The sequence below is a fragment of the Homo sapiens genome, chromosome 9, assembly GCF_000001405.40.
Source record: "Homo sapiens chromosome 9, GRCh38.p14 Primary Assembly".
Taxonomy (NCBI): Eukaryota; Metazoa; Chordata; class Mammalia; order Primates; family Hominidae; genus Homo; species Homo sapiens.
In genome coordinates, this window is record NC_000009.12 from 84,466,430 (window position 1) to 84,481,146 (window position 14,717).

Genomic DNA, 14,717 nt, shown 5'->3' on the forward strand with positions numbered 1-14,717 from the left:
TGAACTCCTGGGCTCACGTGATCTGATCATCCTGCCTCAGCCTCTGGAGTAGCTAGTACTACAGGGGTGCACCACCACACCTGGCTGATTACATTTTTTTTTTTTTTTTGGTAGAGACGGGGGTCTCACTATGTAGCTCAGGCTGATCTTGAATTCCTGTCCTTAAGTGATCCTCCCACCTCGGCCTCCCTTAGTGCTGGGATAACAGGTGTGAGCCACTGCACCCGGCCTAAATGTGGGTGATTTTAAAATTGTATTCATGTCTCAGAACAGAATAGAACAAGGGACAGGTGGTTTCCTTCAGATAAGAGTCGAAATGTGGCACTTTATAGTCTAGTCTCTCTCAATGTGGTGAGGCTGTCATTCATCAACACAGGGACTCCCACAAGCTGGGTGTTTAGCTTTATTTCTCTCTCAGATTGAAGCCTGCAAAATGTAGGTGAGTGTTTCTTCCACTGAACTCTCACCTTTTACTGTAATTGAAGAGGCCGTTAGGAAGAGGTCTGCATTTGGACTCTTGAAAGGCCCTGTGGATGGACAAGCCTAAAAAAAGGTGAACTGGCATTCTGAAGAGCTCTGTTCAGTTCTTAGAAAAAAGTTGGGCTCCTTCTGCTAACACATTTCGTTTCATTTTCTTTTTTAAACTTTACAGCAGCACCAGCCTGAGAATATTAACACATCTCATTTTTTAAAAAGCTAGGTAAAGGAAGCCAGTGGAACAAAAGCAATTGTGGGCACTAATGAAAAGCTGAGAGAAGAGAAAATCAATAATCCCCTGTGTGTGGCTCTGAACACCATTTTCTGTGGTCAGGAGTCAGGTGGTGTGTATGTGGTGTGTGTATGTGGTGTGTGTGTGTGGTGTGTGTGTGGGGGGTGTGTGTGGGGGGTGTGTGTGTGGGGGGTGTGTGGTGTGTGTGTGCTCTGGTGTGTGTGCTGTGCGTGTGGTGTGTGGTGTGTGGCGTGTGTGTGGTGTGTGTGTGGGTGTGTGTGGTGTGTGTGTGGCGTGTGTGTGGCATGTGTGCTGTGTGTGTGGTGTGTATGTGGTGTGTTTGTGGCATGTGTGTGGCGTGTGTGGGGGTGTGTGTGGCGTGTGTGTGAATGCACACACTAGTGCTGCAGAGGGGTTGCAATGCAGCAGAGATGGTGGCAGAGACATGGACGTAGTTCTTGCCAAACTGTGTGTCACTAAGAGTCTCATTAAGGAGAGAAGGCCTGCCGAATGGGAGGGCTTGGAGCTCTGCTGCAAGGGGGAAGAGACTGAGTCTGGGAGGGAGTAACAGTCCTGAAGCCTCGTGGTGACTCCAGGGCTTCCATGACCCATTGGCAAGCATGTGGGTTGAGTGGTGTTTCCCCAAAAGATATGTTCTAGTCCTAGCCCCTGGCACCTGATGATCTTACTTGGAAATAGGGTCTTTATGAGATCATACTGGATTACAGTGGTGCTATGGTCTGAATGTTTATGTCCCCCCAAATTCATATGTTGAAATCCTAACTCCCAAGGTGATAGTCATTGGAGTTGGGGCCTTCAGGAGGTGATTAGGTCATCAGAGTGAAGCCCCCAGGAATGAGATCAATGCCCTTATGAAAGAGGCACGAGGCCACTCATTCACTCCTTCCACCAAGTGAGGTTACAGCGAAAAAACTGCTGTCTGTGTGGTGGGCCCTCGCCAGACACTGGATCTCTCACCATCTTGATGTTGGACTTCCCAGCTCCCAGAACTGTGAGCAGTAAATTTCTGTTGTCTGTAAGCCACCCCGTTTATGGTGTTTTGTTATAGCAGCCTGAACTTACTGAGACGGGGGGCTCTGATCTAGTGACTGGTGTCCTGAGAAGGGGGAAGAAGACCTTGTGGTGACAGAGGCAGAGGTTGAAGTGCCAAAGCTCTAGGCCGAGGAATGCCAAAGACTGCCAGCAACCATGGGGAGGTGGGAAGGGGAGGGAAAGATTCTTCCCTAGAAGCTTCAGATGGAACCTGGCCCTACTGACACCTTGATTTCAGACTTTGGGTCTCCAGAACTGTGAGAAAATACATTTCTGTTGTTTGAAGCCAATCAGCCTGTGGGTTTTGATACAGCAGGCCCTGGAAACTAAGACAGCATGCAAAAGGCCATCGTGTCAGTGTCAGGCAGTGGGGGAAGGTGAGCAGAGTGGGACTCAGAGGTGCTTAGAGGTGAGGAGAGAAGGGTCTGCAGCTTGTTGACAGTGGTTCCAGGTGTACCACCACAGAGACTGCTGGGGAAAGTGCTGATTTCTCATTTAGTGGGACTAGGGCAGAGCTTTTAGGTTGGCTGCAGGAACAAGCAGCACACAGGTATTCAGGTATAATCAGGTTTCTCAACCCCCAACCTTTTTCACTGTGAGACAGATTGTATTTTCCAAAGGTGCCCATGACAATAGCTCCTATCCCTCTTGCTCTTTAGAATTTTGCTACCCCTCATTATGCATTAAGGTCCAGTTCCCTTCTCCTTGGATCTAGGCAGGCTTATGATGTCTTTCTAATAGAATATGTTAAAAATGATGCTGCATGATTTCAAGGTTAGGGAATGAAAAGCAATGCAGCTTATATCCTGTGCACTAGAAATGTAGACTTGTTCTGTAGCCCAGTGCCATCATAAAGCAGTCCAATTGCCCTATAGCTGCCATGTTGCAAGGAAGCTCAAACTATCCCACTTGGAGAGACCACATGGAGAAGCTCCAAGAAGAAAGAGATGACAGGCCATTCACAGGCTACTCCTGGCCCCTCTCCTTTAACCCACAGTGTTCCAACTCCAGTCAGTAAACTACCCTGAGCCAAAACCACCTCACCAAGTTTTTCCTGAATTCCTGACATGCACAAATTGTGAGCAACAATAAAAAAAAATATATATATATATACACACATATATATACATATACATATATATATGTATATATATATGTATATGTATTTAGAGACAGGTTCTAGCTCTGTCACCCAGGCTCACGTGCAGTGCTGTGATTATAGCTCCCTAAAACTTGAGCTCCCGGGCTCAAGCGATCCTCCTGCTTCAGCCTTCCAAGTAGCTGGGTCTAGAGGCATGCACCACCATGCCTGGCTACTTTTTAAACATTTTTTGTAGGGATGGAGTCTCACTTTGCTGCTCAGGCTGGTCTTGAACTCCTGGCCTCAAGCAATCCTCTCGCTTCCCAAAGCGCTGTGTGTGAGCCACTGTGCCTGGCCAAATATATATTTCTGAAGACAGTTTTAGGGTGCCTTATAATGCAAAACAGTAATAACTGGAATCCCTTCCAACTTTTGCCCAAGTCCCACTTCTCCCATGGGACCTTCTCTGATTCTGGAGGCCATGACTCCGTTCCTTGAAACTCTCCTTTCTCTTGAAGCCATTTAGCTATTCCAGTGCGGAGCATTTTCCTCTATTTATTTATTTATTTGTTATTTTTGAGATGGAGTCTCGCTCTGTCCCCAGGCTGGAGTGCACTGGCATGATGTCAGCTCACTGCAACCTCCACCTCCTGGGTTCAAGTGATTCTCCTGCATCAGCCTCCTGAATAGCTGGGACTACAGGCATGCGCCACCATGCTCAGCTAATTTTTTTTGTAATTTTAGTAAAGACAGGGTTTCACCATGTTGGCCAGGATGGTCTCGATTTCTTGACCTCGTGATCCATCCACCTCGGCCTCCCAAATTGCTGAGATTATAAGTGTGAGCCACCGCACCTGGCTTTTCCTCCATTTAGAGCTCGGTCTTGCTGGTGCCAGTCTCTATTTTCTGCAGTTCCTCTGGGACACCTCACACATTCCATGCCTTCATAATACAGAATTCATGGTGTTCTTCCTCCCTCTGCTTCTAACCCTGCCAAACCACGCCCATCCCAGCTCTGTCCGCAACAAGAGGACCTCCAGGGATTAGATCTCCTTAAGAGCAGGGTTGATGATCTAGTGATGGTAATGGGGTTTTCATTACAACAAGAAAACATTCTTCTAGTTAATCATGAACTGCTAAATGAAAAGCCTGTCTGTCTCACCCTTGGGGGCTGTGTCTTACTCTCTTTTGCATCCCTACATGAGTTCAGTGATTGGCCGAAAAAAAGGCCAAGAATGGATGGATGAATGATGGGTAAATAAATGAATGGAGAGAAATACTTGGAAAATAGGCAGTGGAATTTGCAAAATTGCCACACATGTGCTACGTCTTCCCAATTCTGTGCGTGTGGAAGTCATGGCGAACAGACCCCAGCACTCCTGAGGGCCAGGGAGACTGCCTCACGCTCTCTTTGTTTAAGCACAGAACTACAAATAGAAACTAGGAATCAATCCTATTTTGTACTGGAGAGGACTAAAAGCATAAAGACTCTTTTTTGCTACTTCAATTTATTAAAAATATTGTTAAAATAGAAGTTAAAATTCTGCATACAATTGCTTTTTGGATCTCCTTCTACAGTTTTGAGCAAAGTTCATTAAACCCATCTATTTACATGTTCCTGGACTTTTCACATGCATAGATTTCACATTAAGGAAAAATATTGTGATGCTTTATGGCCTTTGCAGTTGACTGGAGTGTGGTGAAGTATTTAAGTAAGGAGTTCGTCTCAAAAAGGGAACAAATAATAAAGCAAGGTGTGGGATTCTGGAGTTGATAGTCAATAATGTTGGCAGTGTTTACAACCAATCCCTTACCAGGATGACAGGACCAATGGAGAAGGGAAATTACCCACCCACCCACATAATTGCACCAGTTGTTAGAATCGGTTAATAGACCATAAAAAAATCAATCCAAGAGAAGCATAAAGAAATACCTACGAGAGTAGATGTTTGTTATTACTGGTTTTCATGTGCAGCCCCATGTGAGCACCTTACTCATTGAAAACAGGGTGGCATTTCTGATAATTTTCCTGTCACTCTCTGCTTTTGTGCCTTCCTTTTATTGGGAATGATTTTTTTGTTTTCTGTTCTTTCATGTTTTGATTGTTGTATTACTGGCCTGGGTTCTGTGGAACGAATGGGGATATTATGTGGTGAAAAGTATTCTTTTTTGTGCACGGACTGGGGAACCAGGGAGGGTCTTAAATTCCGTATATAAATTATCCCATTTAATCCCAACTACCCTTCTCCCCTCCTCCCCATGAGGAAGTTACCATTATTAGCTCCATTCTACAGAGGAGGAAACTGATGCCCAGAGAAGGGAAGCCTCTTGCCACAGAACTAAAGAGGGCTTTCAAATCCAGGCCTGCCTGTCTGGGCCAAAGGTACTGCTGTGTCTATTGAACGAGTCCACAATTCCTTATTCGAAAGGTTTAAAGCCAGATGTTTCTGAAATTCAGTAGGGTATAGGAGGAGGATATGACACACATTCCATAGAGTACTTAATACTCCCAGTGGGGTCTGGAGTAGCACCCTGTAATCAAATCCATTAATATTTTAGCAGTGAAACATATCGACATTCAAACTAATGTGATACACAAAAAGTACAAAATATCTCATTTTTTAGTTGCCCAATGATTTTGTGCCTATCTTATGTTTTTGTTTCTTTGGAATTTCAGAGCTTCTGGCTCTCATCCGTTCAGATAAGGAGTTGAGCCTGTATTATCCTGGCTCCAAGGAGTGAGTTGGCACACATCTCTCCTCTTTCTCAGGGAACTCTGAAATGGAGCAAGCTAGAGCTAAAACAAAACAAAAACCTGATGCTGTTTGTCACTGGCCAGACTTGTAACTACTTGACATTTGAAAAATGAAAATGGCTTTAAGGGCAAATTGGGAGCAGAACTGTAACAGTCCTTCACAAACTACCAAGTCCAGAGAAGCAAGAAGACGAGGGATCTGTCTGTGGTCTTTGTGAACAGATCTCATTGAGGGCCCCTTGAGCTGTAATTCTAAACTGCCATCCACACAGAGGAGCCATTTGGATGGCCCATGGGACTGAGACCCTGCTGCTCTTCCAGCCCTCCCTTTTCAGATCTGTCCTCTGAGGATTGATAGAGGATCAGAGTGCCCCTGGTATGTGTCCCAAGTAATTGGATTGACCCTTAGAAGAAAAGGTTGGTTCAGATAAAATGAAAATTATAAGTGAAGGGTGAGATTCACATTCTGGAAGATCTGTAGTTTACTTGGAGGATGGGTTTTCAACCTTGTTCTATTATTCTATGCTTCTCTATTATACAAGATAAATGGATGGTTTCTACCCATCCACAGCTCCCCAGGAGCTCCATCTCTCTTGGTGGTGCCATTTGACCACCCTCCCTGCTACCCTGTAGTCACAACTGATTGGGCCAAGCTGGGCCATTCTCACTTTTCTCTCTTGAAATTTAATGTTAAGACATGGAAACTGAGTACATCAGGTGGTTACAAGCTCTGGGTTTGTAAGTCACAGCCCTAGGTCCATACCTTTGTATTCCCTTCACCCTGTAGTGCTGTAAAGGAAGAGAAACCAGGAAGGTGATACTCATGGAAGAGATTTGAAGATACACACACACACACACACACACACACAGAGAGAGAGAGAGAGAGAGAGAGAGAGAGAGAAAGATCAGATTGAGCTTGGTAAATCTCCTGGGTCAGGGTACCCCAAGATTGTCCAAACAACCCAGAGGCTAGGGATTGGTGGGATCCAGAGGTTGGTAGCTCCTGTGAACTTCCTATCATAGCCCTTGGATATCCCTGACTGGAGAAGCTGCTGAGAACTCATCTGTGAAGTTGTTGCCTCAGACCCCATGTTGTCCAGTAATCCTTCCTTCCAGGCCACTGTCTTTCCCCCTGGACAAAACTCAGTGTGGAGTTGGGCTCTTTAACTTTCTCACATTTTAACTTGAGGAGTTGGACCAGATCAATATTCCCTGAAGTATGATATGTGTACTACTGCTAGTATTATACTGATGTTTCAATTATACAAGATAATTTCAGGAACTATGTGAATAAATATTTCTTTTATTGTGTATTTATTTTCATGTATATTAGACAACTATACCTTATACATTATATACATTTATATTTACACTATATATTATTATTACATATAGTACATTATATTTTAGTCAGGGTAGATTAGGCCTTGCTGTATAACAAGTACACCACCATGCAGTAAAGGATCAACTAAGCAAGTATGAGTGGTCCAAACCCTGCCCCTTCCAAAGAAGGCTTTGGCACTTACCTGGCTCCTGGGAAATAATCTCTTAAGTCCCTGGAACATTTTGTCTGTTAAGAATGTGTCTGTTTGCCAGACACCTTGGGCCCCATCAGAGAGTTTATGCTAGCAATGTGATTTATGGTGGGGATATTGAGCAGCACAATATCAGCTTGACCTCTGGAGGGGATGGAGAAAAGGTCAGCCACCTGGGTGATCTGCCATGTCTATGTTATTAAACCCCCAATAAAAACTCTGGATGTTGAGACTCTGGTGAGACTATCTGGTTGACAATACTTAACACGTGTTGTCACACATCATTGGTAGGAGAACTAAGTACTGTCTACATGACTCAACTGGGAAAGGGCTACTGGAAACTTAACGCCTAGACTCTCCTGGCCTCTGACCAATGGAAAGACCCCATGTGCTTTTTCCATTGCTGATTTTAATCTTTGTCCTCTCACTGTAGTAAACTGTGAGCATAACAGCTTTTTAAAGTTCAGTGAGTCCTTTTACTGAATCATTCCACCAAAGTGTGGTCTTGAGGACCAAACACAACTACAAAATCTTAATGGCATAACACAATAAAAATTTACTTGCTGTTCATGTGAAGTCTGGTGCAGGACTGGATGCCCTATTGTCATCCATTCTCTAAGCAGTTAAGAGAACCCAGCTCTGCCATCTCAGAGTCCACTGTTTCTATTCACACAGATGCCAGAATGAGATCAAGGAAGAACATGCAGGATGTTTTAGGGGCCAGGCTTGTAAGTTTAAGTATCACTTCCATTAAGAGTCTATTGGCCAGAATCCAGTTATATGGGGCCAACCTAATGCAAGGATGGTTGAGGAAGAGGGTCTTCTTGTGTCACCAAGAAGAGGAAATAAAAAATGGTAAGCATCTAACTAGTCTTTATCACATACCTCAAATCTCTGATTTCATGGATATCAATGCTTAAGGCAAAGTCAAATTTATGTAAGTATAAAAAAGTGTGTTGGTCTAAAGAAAGATAGTAAAAGAAAAAGTAAATACGAATGCATATAGTGCATAACATGACAAAAATCCCGAAGTAGTAGGTGAATAAGTGAAGGCTGGAAACCACTGGTTCATATATGATGGTTGTCAGGACATTTCAGCCACCACATTCTTTTATGATGATGGCACCAGCTAGTGGATGTCTCAGCCTTCTACCAGGTTGCTGGGTTGGCTGGTTTATGATTTTAAGAGTTTGTAATTTAAGTCAATCTGTATTTTGAAAAATTAATATCCAGAAAACTTTTTTTAACATGCTATGTGAAACAAAAATTGAATAAACATTTAATTTTCATTCAAAATTTACTTCTTGGGAGTGAGTACAAGAAAACCTCTTTTTCAACCCTTAAGTATATTATTTTTCTCCTTTTAAAGAAAGATCCATCTTGGTCTAGTATAGAATATTCTGCTCAAAACTTTTGGCTTACTCCTGGTACATGATTTAAGTGGCTTAGTGAACATTTTCTTGTCAAAAATATAGCAAGATGTTTGAAAGCCCAGGAATAACTTTTGACAGCTGCCAAATCTTCTGAATGCAGTGAATTTGTCAAAAGCATCTTTCCAGGTAAACTTTTGTTCACCCTGTGAAGCTCAAACAGAACAAGGACAAATGATACAACAAACACAACTATGTTGGCAGAACTCTGTATTAGAAAATTAGCATTCTGCACTACCAGCCATTACCTTTCCTGGTAATAACTTTTCACCAGATAGCAAAATAATTTAAATACATTCAGGATTTTAGAGGTTCTATTATAAGAGTCCCATCATGGATAGTTCTAAAACTTTGGAATCTGAGGACTTTAAGTGCCACTTGTTTTCATCCCTGTGCCTTTGTCAGGGCTGTCTGGAAATCACCCAAGAGTTCTGAGAGCTGATAGACCAGTTGTGAGCTCCTTTTCTCAGCAGCATCTTTCAACTGGTATTTTAGTGCTATTTATGTCACATCTGAGGAAGTTGATGAGTAATTTTTACCTAATGTAGTAAAGCCTTACATTTGAGTTTTGATTTAGTCTACTATTTTGAAATAAAATGGTAGCCTTTAAAGTTGTCCAAATAATTTCTTATAATATTGAATAACTTTTAGTGAAACTTGGTAGAGAGTGAATATGAGGAAATTTGATTGCTTTGAGAGGAGTTCTTAGTTCACATGATACTACTTTACTTTTAAAAGTCTAAAAAAAAAAAAAAAAAGGCCGGTCATTGGTAAATACCTGTAATCCTGTATATCTCATGCCTGTAATCCCAGCACTTTGGGAGGCCAAGACAGGTGGATCACTTGAGGTCAGGAGTTTGAGACCAGCCTGGGAAACATGGTGAAACCCCATCTCTACTAAAAAAAAAAACAAAACAAACAAAAAAAAACTTAGCCATGTGTGGTGGCACACGCTTGCAGTTCCAGCTGCTCAGGAGGCTGAGGCACGAGAATTGTTTAAACCCAGGAGGTGGAGGCTGCAGTGAGCTGAGATCATGCCATTGTACTCTAGCCTGGGTGACAGAGAGACTCCGTCTCAAAAAAAAAAAAAAAAAAAAAAAAAAAGTCTAAAATAAAGACTCTAAAAACTTAGGTCAACTATAGGTGGTATGTGAGGGTAGCAGTGAGATGCCCACAAATAACCTAGAAATGAGGTAGATTAATTAAATATAAATAAATTAGACTAATTACATAAAATTAAGTAGGAGGAGTTGGCCCATGGGAGTCTATAGATAAGGTTGCTGAATTAGGTAGAAATAAATTAGTCTACTTTAAATGGAAAGTGTCAGCACATGGGAACAACTCTGACTTGTCATTTAATCAGTGATATTAATATAGTGCCATCAAGAACACATTTATTACAGCACAAAAAGTGGGGTTAAGAGGCACAAACTCTGCCATTACGTGAACATCACTGTCTGGGATAAAAACCTACCTGGGGGACATAGGGTAATCATAGACAGGTGCTGTCTCATAAACAGTTCTCACTTTGACTCACACAAAATATTCCTCAGTACTATCTACCGACATTATATGCTGTGCCTGTAACTTCCTAATTACTTATCTGGCTACCTGGGATACTGGAAATAACCCATTCCAGCTACATGATGCTGAAATGAAGTTTATTGTAGGATCGTTCATAGCTCACATAATCTCTGGGAGAGTCAGAAGGGTATGCTTAGGTGCTCTGCAGCCTGTAGCAGACCTCATGATGGGATGGCTCCAGGGACAATCCCATGAATGTCACCCTTGGTCAAAGGTATACTAGTAGAGGTCACCACTGATGCTTGTATCAGTCCATCTGCATTACTATAAAGAAATATCTGAGACCAAGTAATTTATAAAGAAAAGAGGTTTATTTTGGCTCATGGTTCTGCACATCGTGCAGGAAGTGTGATGTTGGTATCTGCTTCTGATGAGGGCTTCAGGAAGCTTACAATCATGGTAGAAGGTGAAGGGCAGCCAGCATGTCACATGGTGACAGAGGAAATGAGAGGGGGAGGTGCCAGACTGTTTTAAACAACCAGATCTTGCGCAAATTCATAGAATGAGAAGTTATAATGAAGACAGCACCAAACCATTCATGAGAGAGCTGCTCCTATGGCCCAAACACCTCCCACTAGGCCTCACCTCTAACATTGGAGATCACATTTAAATATGAGATTTGGAGGAGACACACATCCAAACTATATCAGTGTTGGAAAGTACATACCCAATCATTGGCCACTGCTGCTTTAAAATCACCTTCAGTGCCATCCTCTTAAAAAAATCAGATTCTGCACAGTGCTAGGCCAAAATCTCATGTGGATATATCTCATTGGAAAAATCCAGGTCACATGGCTTTACCCTAGCTTTCAGGGAGTCTGAGAAAGCATCCTCTTCGACTCTACCTTGGGAGATGTCACTCATGAAGGGCAAAGTCTCCAAATACAGAGAGGGCAACAAAGGTCCACTGCAGAGAAAGAGCCAGATAGGGGAATTAGTCCTCTAGTTATGGGAATGCCATGTTTCCCACTGTAAATGGATACACTAACCATTTTGTATGTATTTGACTTCCTTTGGGAATAGTGAGAAATTGCAGTTTCTAGACTTGCAAGGCTGTGGAATGAACTTGAGCTGTGATAAACTCATCAACCTAGTGTTATCCTGAGTAAGCCCTCCACTGCTAGCCAACCAGCCAGCTTTCCCCTGGGGACACCTTGTTTGTTCCATATTGCAATAAAATTGTCTTAGATCTCCTATAAATCAATCCCAAGGCCAAATGGCCTGAAATGCAAAAAGAGAGCTATAGGGATAGCTTCATCAATAGAGGCTTTTTTGATAAACGTGAATCTCTACTTCCTGTGTGCTGAGGTTGGAAGTTGGAGCCATAGCAGCTGGGTTGATGAATGAGCGAATGTGCTGGGCTGTGTATGGGTGAGAGCTGTCTGCCTTGGGTGGGGGTGATGTCCATAGAGAATTTAAAAACCATAAAACCAACTAAAAGTCAGTTTGCTTTCTATTATCACTGTGTGTGGGCAATTCTACACCAGGTTGGTGATCAAAGATTTGTACCTAAACAAACTTTTGGTTGGTCTATATTTTTAAAAATTATCAGAATTACCATTGAAACTTACTAATGTATATATCAGCTTCAAATTAGCATATTTAAATTTTTTATTCTGTAATAAAGGTAGTATTCTACATGGACGTTAATTTGGAGCCTTCTTTGTCCCATAGTGGACCTCCAATGCGCATGGACTCAGCTACACATTTTATTTGAGAAAAAATGAAGAATGCCCCAGAGTTGTTCAAGCTCGCTTTGGGATCACAACATGTCTCCAATCCCTGTGACACTGCATATTTCCATGTTTAAACCGTAGGTAGATTTGAAGTAAACAATGACATTCCAGTGACTATAAAGACAAAAACCCAGAATGTGAGTTATTTTAATTCTGTCCTGCTATGTGACTACTTAGAGTTGTTATTTGTTTCTGAAGCTTCAAAGAGTAAATCCAAGGCATAACATTTTTGTTTGGTAAGTGCAAATATTAGTTCATAAATGAAATAGGTTACTACATTTAATTTTTTTTTATTTTTTATTTTTTTGAGGCAGAGTTTCGTTCTTTTTGCCCAGGCTAGAGTGCAATGGTGCAGTCTTGGCTCACTGCAACCTCTGCTCCCAGGTTCAAGCGATTCTCCTGCTTCAGCCTCCCAAGTAGCTGGGATTACAGGCACCCGCCATGACACCCGGCTAATTTTTGTATTTTTAGTAGAGACGGGGTTTCACCATGTTGTCCAGGCTGGTCTGGAACTCATGACCTTAGGTTATCTGCCCTCCTCGACCTCCCAAAGTGCTGGGATTACAGGCCTGAGCCACCACGCCCGGCCAGGTTACCACATTTTAAATAATATATTTAAAATAGAAATTTCTTCTTTTTAAATTAATTGTTTTGCTTTTTATTTTTATTTTTTTTTAATTTCAACTTCTATTTTAGATATGGGAGGTACATATACAGATGTGTAACATGGGAATATTGTGTGATGCTGAGGTTTGGAGTATGGATCTTGTCACTCTCTTTATTATTATTATTTTTTTTAGAAAGAGTCTCTGTTGCCCAGGCTGGAATGCAGTGATGCAATCTTGGCTCACTGTAACCTCTACCTCCTTGGCTTAAGTCATCCTCTTGCCTCAGCTTCCCGTGTAGCTGGGCCTACAAGCATGCACCACCACGCCCAGCTAATTTTTGTATTTTTAGTATAGACGGGGTTTCACCATGATGGCCAGGCTAGTCTTGAACTCCTTGCCTTAAGTGATCCACCTGCCTTGGCCTCCCAAAGTGCTGGGATTACATGCATGAGCAACTGTGCCTGGTGATTATTTTAAAACTAAAGAACAAACATCAAAAATAACGATTATCACTCATAGAACATTATTATAATTGAAAGTAATTTTGTTCTATGGAGAAGGAGGTGTTAGAAAATGATCTGCTCCAAGTTTCAAATATACTAGGTCCTCTATAAGGGGTTTCTCAAGGTCCCTGAGGACTTGGAATAATACTGCTGATAGTTAACCCTATTCTCGCCATGGCAAAGTGACTAACATGAGTTCGACACTGGCCCTGTGGCATTCTTTCTAGCATTTTTTTTTGACAAATATTATGCCTAAAACAAATAAAAAATATAAATAACAGCAAATCATTGCTTCCATGTTATGGCAAAGAACATAAAATTAATAATAGTAATGCTAACAAAGTATTGGATGGAAGAAGTTACTCTTTATTTGGACCTTGGTCTGTCACCATCACCTCTAGGTTCCCATTTGAATTAATAGTTCTCCCCAGAAGGGAGCCAAATCTGTGGTAGGGGCTGGATCACAACATCCCACTGTCCCATCCTCCTGTAGGGTAGATCCTGGTGTCCTATTTAGCAGATGAAGAAACCCAGGAGTGGAGAGATTAAACCATTTGTCTGATGTCACACAATTAGTTAAGTGAAAGGAGCTGGGATTTCCGGTTTCAAAGCCAGGTTTTCCCTTCTCTGTTGTGCAACCCCTGAAGTGCAGAAATTGATCACCTCAAAATGTCCAAAGAACACTTACAGTGCTCTGAGGTCTTAGCCTCATGGCTAGTCTTCTTCACCCCCATACTTTGTTGCTGTCAGAACGAAAGCATGCTTCCAGTGGCAGCCATGGGCTGTGGTGAAGTAGAAGAATAAGGGCTGCTGACATCGTGAGCACCTTCCCTTGCCCGGGCCCCACGCCGCGGCTGTCTCTGCACCTCCTCTTTGGGCCTTCACTCTGTTAGCTTCGTAAAGGAGGAAACTGAGGCTCAATGAGGAGAATCACCTCTAAGCCTGGAATCCAGGTTGTCTAGTTGCAGAGCAGATGCTCCTACCTGCTGCCTTTCTAAGATCCTCCAGCGTGTCTTGCTGCTACGTGTCTCTGTTCCTAGCCTTGATGGAAAAGTTTAGATTTTCTCTGCTTTTAGGTTTCAGTTTTAGGACTTCTATACCATTTATTGCTCTAAGGACCCGGCAGCTGTCACAGTCTCAACTTCTGCTGAGTTTTGGGATGTTCCAGTTACTTGCAAAATCAAAAACCCAGGCTTGGTGAAAAGAGGAAGGGGAAAGGTGAGGGGTGGAATGAAGGAAAAGAGGAAATCCTAGTGGGGTCTCCCCCCTCCCTCCTTTCCAAATCTGATGTAAGCATGGCTGGGCTTCTGCTAGCTGCCATTGAAATAATTTGCTTTTTTGTTGTTGTTGTTTTGCTTTGTTTCTGAGATGGAGTCTCGCTCTGTCACCTGGGCTAGAGTACAGTGGTGCGATCTTAGCTCAGTGCAACCTCCGCCTCCCAGGTTCAAGTGATTCTCTTGCCTCAGCCTCCTGAGTAGCTGGGATTACAGGCATGCGCCACCACGCCCAGTTAATTTTTGTAGTTTTAGTAGAGATAGGGTTTCACCATGTTGGTCAGGCTGGTCTTAAACTCCTAACCTCAAGTGATCTGCCTGCTTTGGCCTCCCAAAGTGCTGGGATTACAGGTGTGAGCCACTGTGCCCGGCCAATAATTTGCTTTTTACATTTCCACCTATTTATTTAATTTTTTGGATAGGCAGCATGTTCACATGGTTCAAATATC

At 42.6% G+C, this 14,717-nt stretch overlaps 1 long non-coding RNA gene across 12 annotated transcripts in view; it reads left to right on the forward strand.

Moving 5' to 3' along the window:
- Positions 1-14,717, forward strand: part of LOC102724036 (uncharacterized) — a 247,231-nt gene that overhangs the window by 56,629 nt on the left and 175,885 nt on the right. The window contains exon 1 of one of the 12 annotated variants that reach the window (XR_007061627.1): positions 1,032-1,721. The exons of the other annotated variants lie outside the window; for them this stretch is intronic. This is a non-coding gene — a long non-coding RNA (uncharacterized LOC102724036). Of the gene's footprint in view, positions 1-1,031; positions 1,722-14,717 lie in introns of those variants that run through there. 12 annotated transcript variants of the gene reach the window in all.